This window comes from Homo sapiens, chromosome 14 (assembly GCF_000001405.40).
Source record: "Homo sapiens chromosome 14, GRCh38.p14 Primary Assembly".
In the NCBI taxonomy this organism is placed as follows: domain Eukaryota; kingdom Metazoa; phylum Chordata; class Mammalia; order Primates; family Hominidae; genus Homo; species Homo sapiens.
Genome location: NC_000014.9, coordinates 69,346,194 through 69,368,008, shown reverse-complemented (window position 1 = coordinate 69,368,008; position 21,815 = coordinate 69,346,194). Strand labels below are relative to the sequence as shown.

Genomic DNA, 21,815 nt, shown 5'->3' with positions numbered 1-21,815 from the left:
TCTTTTTTTCTTTATTTAGAGATTGGATCCCGTTCTGTTGCCCAGGATGGAGTGCAGTGGCACAATCATGTCACTGTAGCCTTGAACTCCTGGGCTCAAGCGATCCTCGCACCTCAGCCTCCCAAGTAGCTAGGACTAAAGCTGTGCAGCACCATGCCTGGCTAATATTTAATTTTTTATTTGGTAGAAACAGGGTCTCCCTATGTTGCCCAAATTGGTCTGAAGCTCCTGGCCTCAAGCAGTTCCCCCCCACCCTGCCCCATCTCCACTTCCCAAAGCGCTAGGATTATAAGTGTGAGCTGCCATGCCTGGCCTTCCTGTATGGAATTCTTTTTCTTTTTTCTTTTTCTTTTTTTTTTTTTTTGCCTTGCACAGCCCCTGCTTGGAATTCTTGAAGCTCTCTATCACTCTTAGTTTGTTCATGCTGTTACAACGAAGTACCATAGACTGGGTGGCTTATAAACAACAGAAATGTATTGCTCCAGATCCGCAGGCTGTAAGTCCAAGATCAGGTGCCAGGATGGTTAGGTGCTGGTGAGGGGAGTCTTCCAGGTTGCAGGTTGCAGATGGCCACCTTCTTGTTGTACCCTCACATGGAGGAGAGTTCTCTAGGGTGTCTTTTATAAGGGTATTAATCCCATTCATGAGGGCTGCCACCCTCACGACTTAATCACCTCCCAAGAGCCCCCACTTTCTAATACCATCACTTTGGGGGTTAGGTTTCAACATATGAGTTTGCGGGGGTGGAGCACAAACATTCAGTCCATTGCACATTCTTAAAATAAAATCCAAATTTCTTAGCTTACCGCCCAAGGCCCTTCATGATCAGCACCTGCCTACCTGTCAAAACTCAGCCCCCAAAAATCCGCCTCCCTGTTCCCTGTACGGACCACACTTCTTGCGATTCCACAAGTACACCCCACAATCTCTCCATGCCTCTTATACCTTCTTCCTTTTAGGGGTACATCTCATTCCTCAAGGCTCATACACTTTAACCCTTAATCATAGGTTAAGGCTCCATTCAGGCGTCACCACCTCCAGGAAGCCTTCCATGATAACCTAATCCCTCCACCCCAGCATGTTCTGACATGGCTTATATTGCACTGTGTGGGACTGTTGGTGTGATTGTCTACTTCCCTCAATCATCTCTGCTCTTTGAAGAGTGAACTACATATTTCACATTGGAATCCCCAGTGCCTTCTAAATCATAGGTTCTCAACATATGTTTGTGATTCATTAATCAATTAGCTAGTTAGTTGATTTTTGGTATCAGGGAATTACTCTCACTTGTGTATGCCTATTCATACTGGTTCCATTATAAAGGAGTATGAGGCAGGGAGGGAGGTCAGCTTTCATTTTTATTAACTAAGGTTCATAAACAAATTAAGTACACATGACCCTTGATCCATGATACCCTCAGAGAGTTTTACAGCAAAAACTAGAAGCTAATTTAGTTGTAGTTATGAAGGAAATCATCAGGGTTTTATGAGAGAGAATAATATTTTGAGCTGCTTGAACATGGATGAGCAGAGGGCCCTGTAAGGGCTGACATTTAAGCTGAGACCTGAAAGATGAGAAGGAGCCCCTCAGGCAGAGTCGGGGAAGCACGCAGAGGATCTGCTGTGGGAAGGTGCTAAGCAGAGAATAACTTGGTGCCTTCGAAGGATTCAGAGAAGACTGGCACAGTGAATGAGAGGGCAACTGGATAGGTAGGGAGGGGGCCATCATGGATTGAGGTGGGGGATAGCCAAGGGACTGGAGCTTACTACATGGGAAACCCCCATGGGCATGCATCCACTCTACCCATGCTGCTCATTCATTCATGTCATTCATTCATTCCTCTGTGAAATCTTACATCACTACTTTCTCTGCCCAGAAAGCTCTTCCCCAATCTTTCTGACTCCTATCACCCAAGTCTTGCATCAAATGCCAACTGATGCCCCATCTGAAGTTAGCCCTTACCCCTCCACACCATCTTCCTAGTGACTTTCCGTTGTCCCGTTTTATTTGTACATAACACCTATTACTATCTTGGAATAAACTTGTGCATTTTTTGGTTTACTTGTTTCTCTGTCCCTCTAGACTATATGTGCTATGGGGTCAGGGACCTTACGTATGTTGTCTACTGCTGTGTCGCCTGTGCCTAAACCCTGCTTGGTATGTAGTAATGATAAGTATTTATTGCATTATTTCATTCAAATAGCCAGCAGTGTTTTCTTTTTTTTCTTTTAAGCTCAGGGGTACATGTGCAGGATGTGCAGGGTTGTTACATAGGTGAACGTGTGCCATGCTGGTTTGCTGCACAGATCATCCCATCACCTAGGTATTAAGCCCAGCATCCATTGACTATTCTTCCTGATGCTCTCCCTCCTGTCCCTGAGCCCTCCAACAGGCTGCAGAGTGTGTTGTTCCCCACCAATGTGTCCATGTGTTCTCATCATTCAGTTCCACTTGTAAGTGAGAACTTGTGGTATTTGGTTTTCTGTTCCTGCATTAGTTTGCTGAGAATAATGACCTCCAGCTCGATCCATGTCCCTGCAAAGGACATGATCTCGTTCCTTTGTATCAATTAGCCAGTAGCTTTTACTGTCTACCATGTGCCAGACCCAATGCCAGGTACCAAGACAAAATAGACATACATTCCACCCAGAGCTCTGAGCTTAAAAGGGCCCCACACTTGGTTCAATACTCCACTGTCATCGTTTGAAATTATTAATTATTTATGAATTAGATGACCCATATTTTCATTTTTCACTAAAGCCTCCAAATTATGTAGCTGATCCTACCCCCACTTTAACTCCAGAAAGCTCCTAGCACATTCACATTTGGAAACAGTTTAGGGACAAGTCAGTAGACTTGGCATACTATTGTTAATAATTTTAATAGAATTGCCTAATATATTTAAGGGGACATAAAGAGTAAGTGGTTTACAGAAACAGCATAGATTAAGACTCAATTCTGGGAATCAGACATCGTTGGATTCCAGGCTCTGCCATTCCTAGCTGTGTGACTTTGAGAGACTCACACAACATCTCTGAACCTTGATTTCCTCATTATAAATGGATATCATAATAGTGTCTACCCTGAAGAGCTGGCTGGGTAATTAAATGAAATAATACTTAAAACACTTAGGTCAGGTTCTGGGCATCCTGAAAAGCGGGTTCCATCACTCAGCCACCTGCTCCCCTTCCTTTGGCTCCTTCCACCCTCCTGCCCACTCCTGGGGTGGGAAATCTGGGTCAATGTGAGTGGCTCCTAAGCAAGAAGAATATTGAAGAGAAAAAGCAAGGAATTATGACCTTCAGGGAAGCAATAACATTTTGCTTAAAAATTGCTTGAGCAAAGAATTTGTAGATATTTGCAATTTGTATGCAAATACAGACTCCTATATCCTGAGCTGAGACATGGCCCTGGGCAAAAGCTTGAAGAAGACGACTGTTGGACCACAGAGAAGCCTGCATCAGTTTCTCTTTGCTGCCAGTTTAAATGAAAACCTTAGATAATTTCAAAGCTGCAGTTTCCACTGCCTTAGCCTTTCAACAAATCCATTAGTATGGAAGGCAGTTTTCTAACAAGGTAGATGCATCCCCATCTGTATGTACCGCATCATCTCTGCTGTATAATCTTTGTTCTCACATTCATTGTCTGTTTAATCAAGCACTGATTTGGCATCCACTTGCAAATGCTGTGTCTCCTATGCCTGATGAAAAAGAATTTTCAGTGGGTCAAACCTCACCTAATTTCATGAAAATGCAAGTCAACAGCCAAATTAAAAGAGGAAGCCGAGAACAAACTGACAAAGAACAATCCCCCAAGACTCTCAGAACTGATGGAGAACAGTAGTTTTATTGTACTCATCGCCACTTGTTCATTCATTCAAGAAACACTTACTGCAAGCACCCACCATGCACGGGGTACTATACTAGGTGCAATAGACAAGTCTTTGTCTTCATGTAGTCTGCAATCCAATTGGAGTACAGAAGAGCACAGGCCATTCCAATGCAACCCTGATTCAAGGTAAAAGCGGGGAAGTACAGGCACTCAGGGAACCTCTAGTGGGGGCCAGTCACCCAGTGGCTAGGGATAGGGGTGGAGAATCTCAAGGAAGCTCCTGGCATTCTTGCCCTTGGATTGCATCCATTTGTCCAATCCATCCCTGACAGGATTCCTCTATCTGCAAGGTTAACAAGATCGGCATGCATCTGCCTTGAATGCGTGCCCCCTTTTAGAGCCCAGGAACCAGGGTTAGGACTGGGGTTAGAGTCAGTGCCTTCTAGGAGAGGCTCATCTTGCCTCAACAGAGCCTCATTCCATTCATTCATTCATTCATTAGCACACACTTACTGACCACTTCTGTACCAAGCTCTGGCAATCCAGCCGTGAGCAGGACAAATACTTCTTCCTCAAGGAACTGGGGCAGTTTTTTGGGCACCATGCCTCTTTTTCTTTTATTTACTTCAGCTCATTGACAAATGTTATTTAAATCTCACAGCACCCCTAAGAAGTAGTTATTATTATCCCTGCTTTGCTGGTGAGGGGACCGAGTTTCAGAAAGTTCAAGTAACTAGCTGCAGGTTGCCCAGCTAGGAAGGGAAAGGCTTCAACTCTAGGTTAGACTCCCAGCCTCTTCTCTTTCTCCTCTGCTGGGCAGACCGAATCCTGGGCTGGGAAGGGGCCTTCCGACAGCAGCTTTCTCTGTGTTGTTGATAATATCTGTGGGTCCTTCTCGGCAGCGTGACTGCCATCCTCCCTCAGGCCTGGTGATGGCAGCAAGGCCATGCGTGCTCTACGGCCCCCACAAGCAGAGGGCACTGGCCGAGGACTGTCTCCGCAGCCTGCATCTTCCCTGCTCCAGGGAACCTAAGTCATGTCAGACAGGGATGCAGACAACGGTGGGACAGCTGTGCTCTGAAGACCCCAAACAGAACCACTCTTCCTGCCTCATAACCTTCCCTCCCGGTCCAATATTCTGATGGTTTTCAAAGCCTTGTTGAAACATCAAGTCCCCTGCTGAACTCACTTTGCTTTCTTCACAAGGTAAAGCAAGTGTCATGAAGCAAGGTTTCAAAGCCAGACCAGCAGTCTTCCACTCAGGAACGAAGTAGGTGCTGGGACTCCCCAGCCTCCTCTCTCTGGTCAACTTCCCACCATTTCAGGCCACCATGTCTGAGCTGCAAAGTCTTGCCCTGGTGGCTGGAGACAGTCCTGACCAGCTGGAAAATTCAAAGCTTTAGAGTCTAGCAGCTCTGGCCTGCCCAGGGTCGCATAAACGTATCCTGAGGATTCCCAGACTGCTGTTTCCACTTTACAAGACCTGATGACAGACATTTTCCCATTTGATCTGCTCCCACATCATACCCATTTTTCAGTTGAGAACAGTGAGGCTCAGGATGCCTAAGCAGCTGGCTAAAAGTCTCCCAGCTCAGAAATAGCTGGGCCAGAGCTACAGCAATTGTTCTCTTATTGTGAGGCTGAACTCTCCTCTCTATCCCTGCAGTCCAACACAGAAAACCAGCCAAGAAATAACTGAGATGGACACATTTGGTTATAATAATTTTAAATAAGCCTCACTGCTTAATGAGCATGCAGAGATCCAGGCACCTGGTGGAAGCTGTGGGGCTCCACAAAGCACCCTGGAGCCTCCACCTCAAGTGGACAAAGCCACAAGGCAGAGTACACACGGGTCTGAACAAGCTCAAAACGAATGTCTGAGGACAAATAAGGCAGAGCAGAGAACCCTGAGGCCGGGAGGACATTGGGAACAAATACCCCTGGCCAGGAGGCAGGGAGAAAACAGGCCATGCTGGACATAGCCCTGGGCCCTCAGGCCAGCTCAGTCAGGGGTCTCACCCTCCCGAGCCCCAGAGAAGATGCCTGGCCCCAAGGCAGACCATTCGCAATCGCCTCCAGAGCTACATCACGGGACATTGTATTCTTGGATCTACCATGTCCTGTGCTCCCAATTTCCTGCCCTGTGACTTTATTATTTATTTATTTATTTTGAGATGGAGTCTCATTCTGTCACCCAGGCTGGAGTGCAGTGGCGTGATTTCGGCTTACTGCAGTCTCCGCCTCCCAGGTTCAAGCATTTTTCCTGCCTCAGCCTCCTGAGGAGCTGGGATTATAGGCATGCGCCACCACACCTGGCTAATTATTGTTTTTTTAGTAGAGACGGAGTTTCGCCATCCATGCCAGGCTGGTCTTGAACTCCTGACCTCAGGTGATCCACCTGCCTCGGCCTCCCAAAGTGCTGGGATTACAGGTGTGAGCCACCGCACTGGGCCCCCTGTGACTTTAGGTGCTTTAGCCTCTCATCCTGTTTCTACATCTGCAAAATGATGATTGTGGAACCAACGTTGGCTCATCCTACCTCCATTCTAAGAATCAGCCATGTAAGGATACGGGATGTGGGGACAAAAGCTCTCAGCCTGTTAGAGCTTTGCACAGGGCCTCAGTGTCCTCAAGTGCAACATGGGGATAACAGTACAAACATGTCAGTGTTCTATGAATATACAGACTGATGGGTGAAAGGCAATAAGGAGCAGCAAGGAGCATGGACCCTGGATCAGACTTCATGATTTTAAATCCTGGCCCTCCATCCTGCCAGCTGGGTAATCTTGGGCAGATATGTTAACTTCTCTGGGCTTTGATATCTAGTTTGTAAATGGGGTGGTATTGAAAATACCTACCTGATAGAGTTGTAAAGATCAAAGAAGATAAAATGTGTGTCTCAGTGTTTGGTCAGTGACTGACAGGACCAGTTATAAATGTCATTGAATGGAGTACTCATAGAAAGGGCTTTGCCATGTAACTCACGGTAAAATGTATGCCTGTCCTGCAGGCTGGAGGATGCAGCACTGATTCCTTGATTAATAGATCTTCTGAGGCAGAAGCTCTTCTAGAATGAAGTCAACCATATGTGGCTGGTATTGGGGAAGAAACTCATAAATCATGCAAAGCGAGGCTGGCATGTGGCAGCTGGTTCAGTGGCAACCCTCAGCCCAGCCCAGTGCCCACTCTCCCTCCGCCTCAGAGTGATCCATCACTGCCCAGAGCTCTGTGGCAGGCAGCTTGCTTAGCAGGGGCAGGGCCCGCAGCACCCAGCTCTCTGAGCCTTCTGCACCACGTGGTGACACGTGGCCCCGTCAGGGGACCAGAACCCATCTCAGTCACCAGAACAGTGGCTCTCAAACCTGAGCATGCATCAGAATCCCCAAGAGGCTTGTTAAACTCAGAGGGCTGGCCCCACCCCCAGAGTTTCTGATTCAGTAGGTCTGAGTGGGGCCCAAGGGTTTGCATTTCTTCATTTCTTTTCTTTTCTTTTTTCTTTCCTTTTTTTTCTTCTATTCTTCTCTCCTCTCCTCTCTTCTCTTTTCTTCTCCTTCTTCTTCTTCTTTTTTTTTTAGACAGTCTCACTCTGTCTCCCAGGCTCAGCTCACTGCAACCTCCACCTCCTGGGTTCAAGGGATTCTCCTGCCTCGGCCTCCCAGATAGCTGGGACTACAGGCACTGGGCATCATGCCCAGCTCATTTTTGTATTTTTAGTAGAGATGTGGTTTCACCATGTTGGCCAGGCTGGTCTCGAACTCCTGGCCTCAAGTGATCCACCTGTCTCAGTCTCCTAATCGGCCTCTTCTTTTTTTTTTTTTCTTTTTGAGATAGGGTCTCGCTCTGTTGCCCAGGCTGGAAGTGCAGTGCTGCAATCATAACTCACTGCAGCCTCAACCTCCTGGGATCAAGTGATCCTCCCGCCTCAGCCTTCTGAGTAGCTGGGACTACAGGCATGCACCACCACACCTGGCTAATTTTTAAATTTATAGTATAGATGAGGTCTCACTATTTTGCCCAGGCTGGTTTCAAACTCCTGAGTTCAAGTGGTCCTCCTACCTTAGCCTCCCAAAGTGCTGGGATTCTAGGCAGGAATCGCTGTGCCTGGCCAAGAGTTTGCATTTCTTTTTTTCTTTATTTTATTTTATTTTATTTTTGAGACAGAGTCCCACTCCGTCGCCAGGCTGGAGTGCAATGACACAATCTCGGCTCACTGCAACCTCTGCCTCCTGGGTTCAAGTGATTCTCCTGCCTCAGCCTCCCGAGTAGCTGGGACTACAGGCGTGTGCCACCCGCCTGGATAATTTTTTGTATTTTTAGTAGAGATGGGGTTTCACCACATTAGCCAGGATGGTCTCGATCTCCTGACCTTGTGATTGCCCACCGCGGCCTCCCAAAGTGCTGGAATTCCAGGCGTGAGCCACCGCGTCTGGCCCAGAGTTTACATTTCTAATAAGTTCCCAGCTGAAGGGGCTGGTCTGTGGGACCATTGACACATGCTCCTGTGAGAGTGAGTTTAAACCTAGCTGTTTATCCTTGGGCAAATTTCTTCTCTCAACTGAGCCTCCCCTCCTCATCCATAAAGTGAGTGTATGAGAACCTACCTCATTGGAGTGCATATGGTAGCCTTACTAAGATTCTGGGTACCCAGAAAGTGCTCAATCTGTGTCAGTCCTCAGCATCACCAACACATTGCTGTTGAGACAACTAATGAATAGGGAGGGTGGAGTTGTGGCAACATCAAACTTGTAAGAAGTGAGACGAAAAATGGACAAGTGTATATTGCGTGCTTTCTATGTGCAGTGTACTAATTCCTAAATGCCAAAATGCTTTATCATTAAAAGACAAAGCAAAACAAAAACAAACCCAGTTAGAATGCTTTATCTTTAATTAATTCATTCAGCAAACAAACATTTGCTGTAAGTCTGAGAAGCAGGTTCTGTGCTGTAGCAGTGGGAGGTATGAAGCTGGAGCAGGCGTGGTTCCTGTCAGCAAGGAGCTACAATCTAACAGAAAAAAGAGGACAAGACTAGAGAAGACAGGAACACACCATAGCGTATGGAGGAAGGTGATGACAGGCTGGGAAGGAACGCTCAGCACCCTGAAGAAGCAAGCTGGAGAGGTACTTTTCAGACAGGTGGGGGATCAGGAAGGGTTTCCTTGCAGAAGCAGCACTTGTCTGGGAAAATGGGTAGCATTTAACTCATGGAGTTAACAAAGTATGGGGCAGAAGAAACAGCAAAAGCACAAACAAGAGAAAGCAGAAAGCAACTTCGCACTACACGACTCAGGTCACTTTGGCTGATTGTAGGGTGAGGAAGAGAGAGTGGAAGCCGAGGTTGGCCTGGCTGTCTGCCATCAGGCATTGGATAGTTGTAACCATCGGTGGTTCATGGGGCTCCTCTGAGAGCATTCCACCGTCTTTGTGGGGCAGGTGTTCAGTATACCACTGTGGGCTTGATGATGGGTGTGATGATGACGCACCGGTGTGAGAGCTTGCATGTTCTAGGAGGGGGAACCCCCCGGAGCTCTAAGCACTGCCAAAGCCAGCTCACCTTCCCAGCATCCTTCAGAAGGAGAAGTCAGTCCCAAGCCCCCACCTGATGGCTGCAGAACCAAGGCCACACCGCACACCCAAGAGAAAGCTCCCAGTGCCACTCTGCTGCTCCACCTGCTGCCCCCACAACTTACTGTGACCTGATTTAACCTTAGCATCCCCCACACTCCCACCCCCAGGGAGGCCAAGGCTCTGGAAGGCAGAGTCATCCTGGGCGAGGGGCAGCCCCTGCCCTTGTGGGCAGAGAAACCTGGAGCTCTGCAGCTGCCTGACAGGGTTGTGGGAACTGCAGTCCACCCACGGGGAGAGGAGCAAGCCTCCTGCCATGCTGAGAGCCATCTCTGACTCAAACTGTGGGGAGGGGCCCAGACAGAGACCCCATCGAGGTGGCCCTAGAGCAACTGTCTCCAGAGACTCTTACCTCCTGGTTCTCCTGCCAGAGAGTCCCCCAGACTCTCCTGCCATCCCTAGTTTCCCATCCAACTGAGGGTCTCCCAGCTGGGGACTCTCCACCACTGCTGGGCTCAGACCTCCGGGTCCAAGATGTGGTCCCTACATTCTTCTGGCTCCTGGGGAAGTACAGTAAGGAGTACAAGGGTAGCCTTCTTTCCCCCTGGCTTCTCCCTCTTGTAGTGAGTCCAGTGCTGAGTGTCAGGGTACTCAATCCAGGGCCCAGCTCATTCTGATTCTCTCCTGCACAGCTTCCCCTCTCTGGGCCTCCAGCTCTCCTTCCTGGTGCATGGGACTTAAATGTGCAAACGCATCACTTGGACCACTCAATACAAACACAGGAATTCTAAGCCTCCCCGTCTGGGTCAGACCCAGGAGCATACAGGTCTACAATCCCTCCAGGGATACTGAGCAGGTTATCTGGACCACATCTTAAGAGACACATATTTGAAAGACAAATTGTTGAAAGACCGGCTTTGTTTTCAGATGGCTTGAGGGGATCAGAAGCAACCTGAGAGCCAGGCAAAAACAAGTCTTTCCTGGAACGCCTCCACCATGAGTATCCCTTCTCTCCAGAGAAGGATCACTAATTCCCGTACCAACTAGACCCACCTTCCCGAAGGAAGAATACCGAGCCCTGGAGGAATGGTCCCTAGCTCAAGAAGCACAGGCTGTGTCTGTTGGGGTTGAAATGGCTCCCACAGCTTCCTTCTAGAATTCTCCTGTTGTAACAGGCTGGTCTACGTCACCACAATGCTGCCTGCAGGGTAAAAAGCCCAGGCCACCCAGCAAGGTACCAGCTGAATTGCCATCTCTGCTAGTGTGGCCAGTGGACTTCACCAGACCTTATCCAGTCCAACCTTTATCCAGCCTGAGGCAGGCATTGCCTGGAATGTCATTTCAAGCTGTCCTGGAAGCATCATCTTCTGGAGAGAGAGCACCAACTCACTGACGCTCTGGGTGAGAGCTCCCTCTCCTTGCTCCCATAGCTCCTGCCTTCCCCTGTAGCTTTTATCATGTGGTATCACAGTTGCTGCTGATTGGTCCATCTCCTCTGCTAGAATATTTGTTCTCGAGGGCAGGGACCGTTTCTGTCTTGTTTACATTTGTGTCATCACCCCTAGCAAAGTGTTTGGCATGTAGCAGGCACTCAGAAAATGTTTATTAATAATAGTAATGACATATTGATTAAGCATTTGGAAAGGGCCAGATGCTTTGCGATCAGGCTTCACAAAAAAATCCTTTACGGCTATGAGTACCCCATTTAACAGGTAAAGAAATCAAGGCTGAGAGATGAAATAACTTATTCAAGAGCTCAGTCAGGCGCAGTGGCTCACGCCTGTAATCCCAGCACTTTGGGAGGCCGAGGCGGGTGGATCACGAGGTCAGGAGATGGAGACCATCCTGGGTAACACGGTGAAACCCTGTCTCTACTAAAAATACAAAAAAAATTAGCTGGGCATGGTGGTGGGCGCCTGTAGTCCCAGCTACTCGGGAGGCTGAGGCAGGAGAATGGCGTGAACCCAGGAGGCAGAGCTTGCAGTAAGTGGAGATCATGCCACTGCTCTCCAGCCTGGGTGACAGAGCAACACTCTGTCTCAAAAAAAAAAAAAAAAAAAGAGCTCACAGCTGGCAAATGGCAGAGTAGTGAGGGATCCAGCTGAATGGGTATTTTTTGAAGTTGATTTGAATTTTTATTTATAGAGATAGGGTCTCGCTATGTTGCCCAGGCTGGTCTCGAACTCCCCTGGGTTCAAAGGACCCTCCCAATTCAGCCTCCTGAATATTTGGGATTACAGGTGTGAGCCACTGCGCCTGGCTTGAATGGGTCTTAAAGACCCAAGAGTCCGCACCCCTAGTACACTCTTCTCCACGCTTCACAGGGCTGAATTAAGCAGGAGAAATTGTCCTCAGATGGCTCTGGAGCCTCAGTCCAGGTCGGCTACTCAGACAGCCCAGCTGCAAGCCCAGGAGAGTAGGCCCTCCCCTGATCCATCTCCAGGTCTTTCCTAAGTGCCTGGCAGTGAAGACCTCTTCCCATTAGAGAAGCTGGCTGGGTTGCCCCCTCCTTCTGGAGGAGCACTGACTCAGACCATCACAGGGACACACAAATACCAAACACACTGAGAACATTGTTGGCAATGAAATTACAGACGTTATAAATGCCAGCCTTTCCCTTCCAGGTTTCCTTTCCTGTTCCCTGGTGGGAGAAGGACCACACCCCATGCAGTGCTGGGAGACATCCCCCGCAGGCCTTGGGGTGCTGGAACCCTGGGACGACAGTCATATTGTCCAGGTTATTTCTCCCAACTGCAGATGGAGACAGCCTTCCTGAGGGGCCAGGGGGAACAGCCCTTGTAAAAACTGAAGCCAAGTCACAGAGGCCCAGGGATCCTCAGGAACAGCTCCCTGCTGTACAAATGGGAGTCTGGCCCTGGTGCAGAAGTCCCTTCTGCTGCCCTGCCCATAGGCTTTCGGGGGACTCTCCTGCCAGTGACGTAACTGTTAATACCCAGCCTGGGGCTTTTGCTGATTCCTCCAGGGCCTGGCTAAAGGCTGACAGCCTTATCTCCTAGGGAAAAAACTGGGTGGCACAGAAAATGGGCTTTGGGAGAGGTAGGTTTGGAGGAGAGCAAGCAAGAGGAGAGAGCCTGACTCAGGAGAAGCAAGCACCAGAGCCCTCCAAGGCTGAGGGTGAAAATAGATGGAGAGTGGAAATGGGGCTCAGCGCGCCAGGAGGGAGCCCTGAGTAGGCGGTGGGTGGTGGGCTGTGCTCCCTGAGAGGACGGAGGGGTGGATGGGGGAATGGAGGCTGCAGCCAAGGTCTTTTACAGTGACTTGCTCCTAAGCCCAGACCAAGCTGGACATTGTAGCCAAGGTGTATTCTCTGCAGCCAGCTAGGGCTTTGCTCCAGGCTCCTCAGGCCCAGGGGTCAGAAGTTCTGGGTAACTCCAGATCAGCAGCCCCACGGCAAAGTGGGGCTGAGGGCAGAAATGGTTGCGTCCAGGAGAGGCTAGTGGTGTGCTGGCCTGCCAGCTGCAGTTCATATGTATGTTGAAGCAGCGTTTATTTTTACCTGGGTAGGTTCAGCTTCTGATCACAGACATGGTGGGGGTTTTCCATTGGTTTCCATGGGAACATTAGGCAGAGCATCTGCTACCCAATCAAGCAAAGCTGGTCTGGTAAGACTCTTTTCAGAATTATTTTGCTGTTTTTACCCAGGAAGTATGTCCTGCCTGAATTTGTACCACTGCCTTCTTGTGTGGTAGAGCAGGGGAGGGCAGCTCCGAGGGGACAGGCCTGGCTCACAGGGAAGGAGAGAGGGCTGGCTAAAGGCAAGCACGGCGGCAGGGCAATACCTATTTGGAGAAGCAATTTGCTTTCCATTTCTAAGCCCCAAGTAGAATCCCATAATGAGGCCACAGGAGCCTGGGCTCCACCTGACCTGTGCTGATTCCTGGTTTTGGTCCAAGGCCTGCCCTTGCAGTAGGGCCACCTGTTGGCCCCCACCAGAGCAGTCAGGAGTTCCTGGGGCACCACAGGGCATGGAGGCCGACGAGCAAGCTACCAGGTGCAGGACAGGGCTAGACTTGAGCATGTTCAGTTTCACTTTTACAGAAAGGAGGCCCGGACTTTCCCCACGAGGCGGGGGAGGGTGTGCTGAAGGGCTAGGCCTGGAGGCAGAAAGGAAGGCGCTGGTGCATGTGGACATGTAAGAAGTGGTTTTATTCCAGGTGTGTGTTTCATAAAGACGAGGTCCTCAAGGACAGCTAGTGGCACATGCTTTGGTCAAGAAGAGGAAAAGCAAAAACAGAACAGGGCTGCGTTGCCACAAAGGACCGGCTGATAAGTGCAGAGCCTGATCTGACCACAGCAAAGGACAGAGAGACCCTCTTGAAGGCCCTCTGGTCAGCAGTCCTCTTACATTCAACAGGCGCAGCCCCGGCTCCCCAGCCCCAAAGGTCCATGCCCGAGTGTGGCCCAGGCCTTCTAGTCCATCCTCTGGGGAGAGGCCTTTGCCCTGGGCCCAGTTCTGTCCTAAGCTGTGGCAGGAGGCTTCCCAGATGAACAGGGGATCTGAGGCTGCACCTGGCTGCGGAAGAAACATCACGACAGAGGACAGGCAAAGCATGGCCCTGGGAGCGAAGGGGCCTGCGCTGGCAAGTCCAGAGGGGTGCACTTGGGCACGGGAGTGCTGCCGAGAGGACGCTGGTGAGAGTCAGGAGGCGAAACTGCTGGAGAGCCCTCCAGAGCAGGTGCTGCGGACCACAGACACTTGGCTGCTGACCCCAAGGGCCGTGTGGAGGGAGCAGGCGATGGCAGTTTGAGCACGCCAGGGAGGAAGATTAGGGGGTGGCAGCTTGGGCAGACAGTGGCTTCAATCCAGAGCAGAGGTTCAGGCCCTTTGGGGATCAGGGACCTCTTTTAGAAGCCATGGACTTTTTCCCCAGGAAAATGCATGTATGCACACACATGCAGTATTTTAGGGACAATTTCAAGAGATTCCTAGACCCTCTAGAATCCATGAACTCTATGGGTATGTGGATCCTTGGCCTATGAAAGACAGGGGGCTCCTGTGGTAGGTATATCTGCCCCAGGCTGGTCTGCTTTGTAGGGGAGACCCCCAGGGTCCTGGTACCAACAGTCATTTGCCCAAGAGCCAGTGGGGTGAGGAAGCAGGGTGTGGGGATAGCAGGAGCAGTTCCAAGACAAGGCCGTGGGGTAGATGTGTGGATGTGTTCTCAGCGGCTGTGAAAAGGAACTGGGAGTTCTCTTCACAAACAGGAGCCACAGCCAGCCTCCCAGCACAGTGCAATAGCTGACCCTTCAAGAAAATCCCTCCTGTAGTAGGGAGGGGAATAAGGGTGAGGTTGAGCCCTAATGACTTAGGGGCTCCTGTAGCGGGGAGGGGAATAAGGGTGAGGTTGAACCCTAATGACTTAGGGGCTGTTCTTGGTCCAGAAGGGAAGTTCCCTTCTTTCCAACCACCCATGATGCTGTATTGACAGAGGCAAAAACCTTTGAGAAAGCAGGAGTCAAAAATGACAAATGAGGCTGGGACTACTCAGGGATGTGTGTGGCTACCCGTCCTTTCAGTGGGTCCTGGCGGCAGGGACAGGGCACTAGCTGTTCATTAATGCCCGAGAGAGAGGTCTCAGCCTGACACATGGCCAAATAGAAGTGGAGTCTGTTTAATAAACTACGCCCGAATCTTCCCCTAAAGATCCCTCTGCAGCCTCTTGCTAAGAATGTGGGCACCCACAGGCACAGGACCGGAAGAGGCAGCGTCGGGCTCAGACCCTGGGGCTGGTAAAGTGTGGAAGGGACTGTGTCCTGGGTAAGAGACCTTGTTCTTTTGGTGCTTTGCTGCTCTTCTATCCATGTTCATTTGCAAATTACCCATCCTTTGCTGCCAAGACACCATCCGTCCCCACCCAACCCAGTGCCACCCTGGGCTTGGCATCTCTGACAGGTCACCGGGCTTCTCACCTCCTTCCTGTTCTTCAGCTACCCCTGCAGGCTGCCCCTCTCCCCTTCCCTCTTCCCAGCCTTCAGCCTCTCCATCCATGCTGCCCAATTTCCCCTGGCCCTGCCTGCCTGCACAGCTGGGCCTCATGACCCAAAAGACCCCTGTGTGGGCTTCTGTCCTTGCTTTCTCCGGGCAACAAGGGAGAGACCACACACTATTGTCCCAGCCCCAAGAAGCGCCAAGGGAGAGGACAAAGGGCCAGGGGCACCTACTCAGTCTCTACCCAGCAACAGTCCAGCACCCTGACCATCTCCTCTCCCGGGGCAAGGCCAGGACAGCACTGAGGGCATCGGGGCGTGCCCGCCTGCGCCCTCCTAGAACAAGCTTTGGAGAACGTGTGTCATGGTGGGTATTTGCTGATGGTCCTGGCAGAAATGTGAGGAGATGGGAACAGCCCACTTTGCACTCCCCCACCCTAACCCCCTTCCGGTCCCGAAGTCTCATGCAAAAGGTACAGGAGGCCCCAGGGCTACCGTCATGTGTGTGGCAACAGCTGCCACTGCTGGGCCTGGGCGTCAGCCTGACACTTGCTGGTCACCAGCTGGGCAGGCTTTGTCTCCAGGCAGAGGCCACTGACTGAATGCTGGATGAAAGATCCTTTTCTCCTCCATTTCTAGGAGGAACAGAGATGGGTTAGAAGAGGAAGGAGAAAACAATGATTTAAAAAAATAATGTTGTACTTTCATTCCACATGTATGCACACAGCCCTTGTATATAACTAGGACACATCCCCCTCCTCCTTTCTTTTTAGGCATGACCTTGTTCTTACAGTGGTGCTACCACAGCTCACTGCAGCCTCGAACTCCTGAGTTCAAGCAATCCTCTTGCCTCAGCCTCTGAGTAGCTAGGACTACACCTGCATGCCACCACGCCCAGCTAATTTTTAAATTTTTTGCAGAGACTGGGTCTTGCTATGTTGCCCAGGCTGGTCTAGCTAGAACGTCTCACCTCAAGTGATCCACCTGTCTTGGCCTTCCAAAGCACTGGGATTACAGGCATGAGCTACCATGCCCAGTCATGCCCCTCATTTAAATCAGGCTGTGTGTTCCTATGTAAGAGGCTGCCCCCATCCTGCCTCTAACACCAGCTTTAAGCCCTGCCCTTCCCAGCAGGGCTCTTGCTTTTCTGTAGTTTGCAGAAGTTCCTGTCCAGATCAGAGGAGGAGGCAAAGCAGAAGTCCCCTGTGTTTATTTACAATTTAGCTTGGTTGCCACGTGCAAATCTGCATTTCCAGCTTCTATGTAGTTATTGGACCCAGTTTCTTACATGGCATCAGTTGCTGGGGCTGAGGATTTGCCCTCTGCCTTAGATGGGGCTCTTGTTCTGCAGGTCACCATAGTTCCTGCCTGGTCCCGACTTTTCTCCTATTGGGGTTTTCCCACCAGCTCCCTGTAGGCACTTGAGCTTGTCAGTCCTGGCCTAGGTAAATCTTTTATTTCTGTAAACAAGATTTATTCTTCCTAAGCTTCTGACCTGTGAGGCCAGTAATCTACACCCCCTAGTGGGAAGCTGCCTTCTTTGTAGGGATGAAGTGTGGGGCCAGCAGGGTGGTGGGAGACTGGAGGTCTCGCATCACAGAGTCATGCAGGGGCTCCTGGTCAGTGCCTTCACCTCCTGGTGCCTCCCCGACCCCGGGTTTGACAAGGGGGAGAAGAGTTGCTCCTGTAGAACATTACGGAAGTGCCTGGGTGGAGGATGGAGTGTTGCTTGGAACATTTATGAGAAGGGATGAGAGGCAGAGACCCAGGTTTCAAGGCTCAGGGAAGAATAATAGTAAGATAGGTCTAGTTTGGGTTTCTCTCCTATTTGCCTCCCATTGCAACCACCTCCCCTCTTCCATCTTCTCTCATTCACCGTGTCTTCGATTAGAGGCAGGAGTGCTTGTGACCATGTGGAGGAAGCCCAGAGGGCTCTGAGGGCAGTTGGTGGACAGGGAGCAGCTGAGGGGAGAGAGATGAGCCCACCCAGCTGCAGGGATAGGGCTAGGGCTGCGGGGGGATGTGCACACAGGGTGGAAGGCAGGGGCGGAGCCTGGGCTCCCAGTGGGAATGCAAGGACGTGATGGGTAGGGCTGAGACCCAGCCTCTCTGGGCCCACATGGCCCCCGCAGAGAGCCTAAAGGTCAAGGGCCTTTGGATCCCCCCTCCTGTTTCTTCATGCTCTTCTAGTCCTTGACATTTACCTCATGTAGGCCAAACCTCCAGCAATGCCCAGCTGGAGAGAGTATGGCCATCCTCACCCCAGGGAGTCGTGGTGCTTGGAGCTACCTCAGCATCTAGCCTTCTGTAATATAGTGTCTTACTCCCTTCTTTCTCTTCCACTAAAGTGCAAATTCCCTGGGGGTCAAGGACCATGTCCGTTCATCCTTGTGGCCAACATGATCTGTACATTCTCTGGCACAAGGTAGGCACCCAGTGACATTTTGTTTGTTTGAGACTGAGTCTCGCTCTGTCACCCAGGCAGGAGTGCAGTGACACGATCTCGGCTCACTGCTACCTCTGCCTCCCGGGTTCAAGCGATTCTCCTGTCTCAGCCTCCTGAGTAGCTGGGATTACAGACGCGCGCCACCACGCCCGGCTAATTTTTGTGTTTTTAGTAGAGACGGGGTTTCACCATTTTGGTCAGGCTGGTCTCGAACTCCTGACCTCATGATCCACCCATCTCAGCCTCCCAAAGTGCTGGGATTACAGGCATGAGCCACTGCACCCAGCCGTCATTTTGTTTTAAGATGAACGAATGACTGAATCACCCAATCATTAGGAAGTGCTCCCCAAACAGCGGGATTCTCACTTCTTATCAGTGCTATTAGGCACAATCTCAGGGCTTCTTGACTCTCCAGGCCACTCAATTCTGGGCTTGTCTGAGAAACAATGTCACATCACCCACTGTCCCATCTCCACATCTTGGTTCTTGCGGATTCCTTGTGAGGTAAGCAGGGGAGGGAGCCCCTTATTTTATAAGTGAGGAGACTGAGTGAAGGGAGGGGGAGGGAAGACTGAGCTGGGGCCTGCTGACTCCATCACACCAGGTCTGAGGCACAGGAGCCTCTCGGATACAGGAAACCCAGCTAGCCTTGGAAATAGGACCAGCAGGGGACCAAGAAGGACGGCCCGGATTCCAGAAGGCATTGGCAGTGGGATAGCTGGCTCATCCTGTCCTCCTGGGAGAAGAGGGGCACAGGCACCCAGAATGCCATCGGGAGCCTGGCAGGACTTGCAGGGGCAGAATGAATGGGGCCAAGGAGATACCTACACACCCCGTAGGCTGGGTCAGCACAAAGGGGGAAATGTGTGATTCAGCCCCAGAGGGGCAATTGAGTGGAGGCTTTGCTCGGAGATAATTCCTCAGTGGGAGGGGGTGGGCGTGGGCTCAAGGATTTGCCCTCAGAGAGGTGGGTGCTCTAGGTGCAGGAGACACTGCACCAGCCCCACTGCAGGGCAGGGCCGAGGGTGGGCTGCATCCCCCCACCATCCAAAAGCGCTTAAAGTGTCCCACAGGTCCAGCAAGTGGGCTGGGCACACAGATCCCTCAGACACACACAGGCCGGAGGGAGAGGCTGTGGCTGCTTTCCAGAATGGCACAGCAAACTGCTGTTCATCCTTTAAAAAACGTGCTGACCCAAGCAAAGAAAAAGGGGTAGGAGGAAAACCATGCAGGCCAAATCAGAGACCCAGGCACCCTCCTCACTGCTTGCACCGACTGAGGCAGGCTAGCCAGTGGCAGGCACAGGGAGGGCTTCTGAGGAGGGTGAGCAGGGGAAGTGCTGGAGCAGCCTCTGGGCCTTGGGTCCCATTCCCTGGGTGGTGAGGGAGCCCTCCAAGACAGGAAGGGAGTAGCACAGAAGAGAGCTGGCTGGATTCTGGAAATCCACTGTCACTGGTTGCTGTGTACCCTGAGCAAGTGACTCCACCTCTCTGTGCATCACTTTCTTCCTTGACCCTGACCTGTCTCCCAGGATTAGTGGTGACAGTGTGGGTGAGAGTGTCGGATCAATGGAAAAAGCAGTGCTCACGTGAGGCTGGTCATGCCAGCTTGGACATCACTGTGTCTGGAGCTCAGTTTCCCTAGTCTGCCAACAGTCAAGAAATACTTATTGAACATCTACTATGTGCTGGGTTAAGACTGTGGGCCTAGAAGTCACTGACCTGGGTTTGAATCCCAGCTCCACCCCTTCTCAGCTGTGTGATCTGACATATATTCTTTAGATTCAGCGAGCCTCAGCTTACTCACTTATAAAATGGAGGTAGTACTAGAACCCACGTCACTGGGTGGCTGGGAGGATTAGATGAGATGATCTATTTCAAACTTCTAGCACAGACTGTCAGTAAAAGCTAACACTTATTTGAACTGTGGTGGTTGTCAGGAGCTAGGGATACAGTGTTAACAAGACAAGTGGTCCCTGCCTTCATGGAGCTCACAGCCTGGCAGGATGGCATTAAACAAATAATTACCCAAAGAAGTATTTCCTCATGGGCAGAATAATTGGCTTGACCTAGATGTAGACTTTGCTCCCCCTCCCCACAGATCCTCGCTCTGAAGGGCTTATTTGAGTCAATCAGGGGCTCTCCTGCCAAGGTCTGCCACCCTGAGGCATGGCCCCTCGGGCTGCTGGGCCTCTGGGCCAGAGGCAAGGAGACTCACCTGCTTGCCTTCTCTAGGGTTGCACATCTGCAGTATGACTGGGGATCCAGGGGAGGACATTAAGGTGGAGGTGGCAGCCAGGCACTTCCCCTGCTGCTGGATGAGGTGGTCACTGAACAGCCATGCCTGCAAGGCAGGGAGCAGAAAGGCCAAGTCAAAAAGTACAGCGATGGGTGGAGAGATGGGTAGATAGGGGATAAAGCAAAAACACGGCATATTTTTGTAAGATTTCTACAAATAATTGTAGGAGCTAGGGTAGATGTATGGGTATTCACTGCATAATTCTTACTATTTTTCTATATGTTTGAATTTTTTGGTAATAAAATGCTGGGGTGGGGGAGCTTAGCTGGAGCTGGCCAGAGGGCAGTCAGGGCTGTGCCAAGAGACTGTGGGGGATGAGAGAGAATGACAAGACATGGAACCAAGGCAGCTGAGAGCTGGTCCTCACTGGAGTCTCCATGACCTGCTTTAGTTTCGATGTGGGTGCAACACTCATATGTTGCACCCATGTGCGCACAGGAGTCTTGGACATTGCCTGTCACATGAGCCGACCCCAGCTGGATCTCAGGAGACAACTGGGCACTATCTGGGCAGCTCTTCTCCCTCGGCAAGAACAAAGCAGGTGGTGCACACAGGATACCCAAGTGACAGGCTGGAAAGGGGATATGAATGTGTAGGAGCAGGGTCTAGGGGCCCCTGGCAAAGTGGGTTTGTGTAAGATGTAGACAGAGGAGGAGAATGAGTAGGGGGAAGTCCCTCACCCCACTCCTGGACAATGCCTCCAGCTCTCTCCCACTCCCATTCCTACCCGAGGTCCTTACCTGGGCGGGCTGCGGGTTCTTGGCAGACCCTCTGCAGATCCCCATTCCAAGCAGGAAGTCACCAGCTGTGTTCTGGCCCTGAGATTCTAAGCAGTTCACCCCCTGCTTAATGATGCCGGGGAGTGCTTCCTTCACGGGGACCCTGAGAGAAAAGGCAGCAGTCAGGCTTGTGCTTTCCCCCCCAAGGCTTACCTACACCCTCTGCCAGACGTCAGCATCCTATCAGCTCTGGGAGCGCCGAGGTCTCCGTGGGAAGGGGCCCGGGAGCAGCCTGGCCAGCAGGGGGAGGTGAGGAGCAGGAGTGGCCTCTGGGAAGACTGGGCCTCGGCCCCAGGGGTTCTTCCAAGTGGCTCTGGGACCCTCTGCCCTGGAGGCTGGGCCTGAGACATAGAGGATGGGGGAGCCATGGGCGGAGCTCAGGCTGGAAAAACAGAGCCCCTCAGTCCAGAAAGAGGAAAGCCTCAGGAGAGCCTGGGGCCAAAATGCATGCTCAATAATCAATCCCAAAATGACAGGGAAGGGAGCGCTTTGAAGAGGCAAATTAAACACAAATATGAAAATGTGTTTAATCTCAGTAATGATTAAAGAACTACGTATCAGAGTCACCAATGTTTATTTACCATGTATGTACATTTGTACACACACACACTTAATTTAATGACAATGCCCAGTGTCGGCAACAGCTGTGGGACTGAATCTTCTCACACCTTCCTGGTGAGAGCATAGATTAGCACAGCTTCTCAGGAGGGCAGTGTGCTATTGTGTCTCAAAGCCCTTAAAAATGCACACATCTTTGACCAATATTGCCCCTTGTAGGAACATATCCTACAAAAATAATTATAAATGTTGTAAAAGACATTCATCTCAGAGTGGTTGATTATATTGAAAACACCAGAAATTTCTAGATATCTAACAACAGGAGCTGGGCTAAATAAATTCGGATTCATCCATACGATAGAAAACCCTGTAGCCATTAAAAATGACTTAT

General features: G+C 50.8%; 1 protein-coding gene across 7 annotated transcripts in view, besides 4 other annotated features; it reads right to left on the bottom strand.

Annotated features, from left to right (window-relative positions):
* GALNT16 (polypeptide N-acetylgalactosaminyltransferase 16) overlaps positions 1–21,815 on the bottom strand; it is a 126,707-nt gene that overhangs the window by 18,329 nt on the left and 86,563 nt on the right. For 2 of the 7 annotated variants that reach the window (XM_017021498.2, NM_020692.3), the window contains 4 exons: positions 20,828–20,969; positions 20,007–20,132; positions 15,839–15,978; positions 10,967–14,677 (listed from right to left, as the gene is read on the bottom strand). In XM_017021498.2, the coding sequence (XP_016876987.1) occupies positions 15,841–15,978; positions 20,007–20,132; positions 20,828–20,969 (406 nt within the window). In that variant the 3' untranslated portion in view covers positions 10,967–14,677; positions 15,839–15,840. Of the gene's footprint in view, positions 1–10,966; positions 16,804–20,006; positions 20,133–20,827; positions 20,970–21,815 lie in introns of those variants that run through there. The other 5 variants (XR_007064036.1, XM_047431618.1, XM_011537006.4 and 2 more) reach the window with 4 other exon arrangements.
* Positions 6,983–7,062: an enhancer, noted in NCBI's record as "active region_8636". NCBI's record gives its function as "activates an Ori minimal core promoter by ATAC-STARR-seq in GM12878 lymphoblastoid cells {active_cell/tissue: GM12878}" and the evidence as "EXISTENCE:reporter gene assay evidence [ECO:0000049][PMID:35858748]".
* Positions 13,166–13,665: an enhancer, noted in NCBI's record as "active region_8635". NCBI's record gives its function as "activates an Ori minimal core promoter by ATAC-STARR-seq in GM12878 lymphoblastoid cells {active_cell/tissue: GM12878}" and the evidence as "EXISTENCE:reporter gene assay evidence [ECO:0000049][PMID:35858748]".
* Positions 13,696–13,795: an enhancer, noted in NCBI's record as "active region_8634". NCBI's record gives its function as "activates an Ori minimal core promoter by ATAC-STARR-seq in GM12878 lymphoblastoid cells {active_cell/tissue: GM12878}" and the evidence as "EXISTENCE:reporter gene assay evidence [ECO:0000049][PMID:35858748]".
* Positions 18,808–19,308: an enhancer, noted in NCBI's record as "H3K4me1 hESC enhancer chr14:69815418-69815918 (GRCh37/hg19 assembly coordinates)". NCBI's record gives its function as "activates a minimal SCP1, AML or CMV promoter by ChIP-STARR-seq in primed H9 embryonic stem cells {active_cell/tissue: H9 hESC(primed)}" and the evidence as "EXISTENCE:reporter gene assay evidence [ECO:0000049][PMID:30033119]".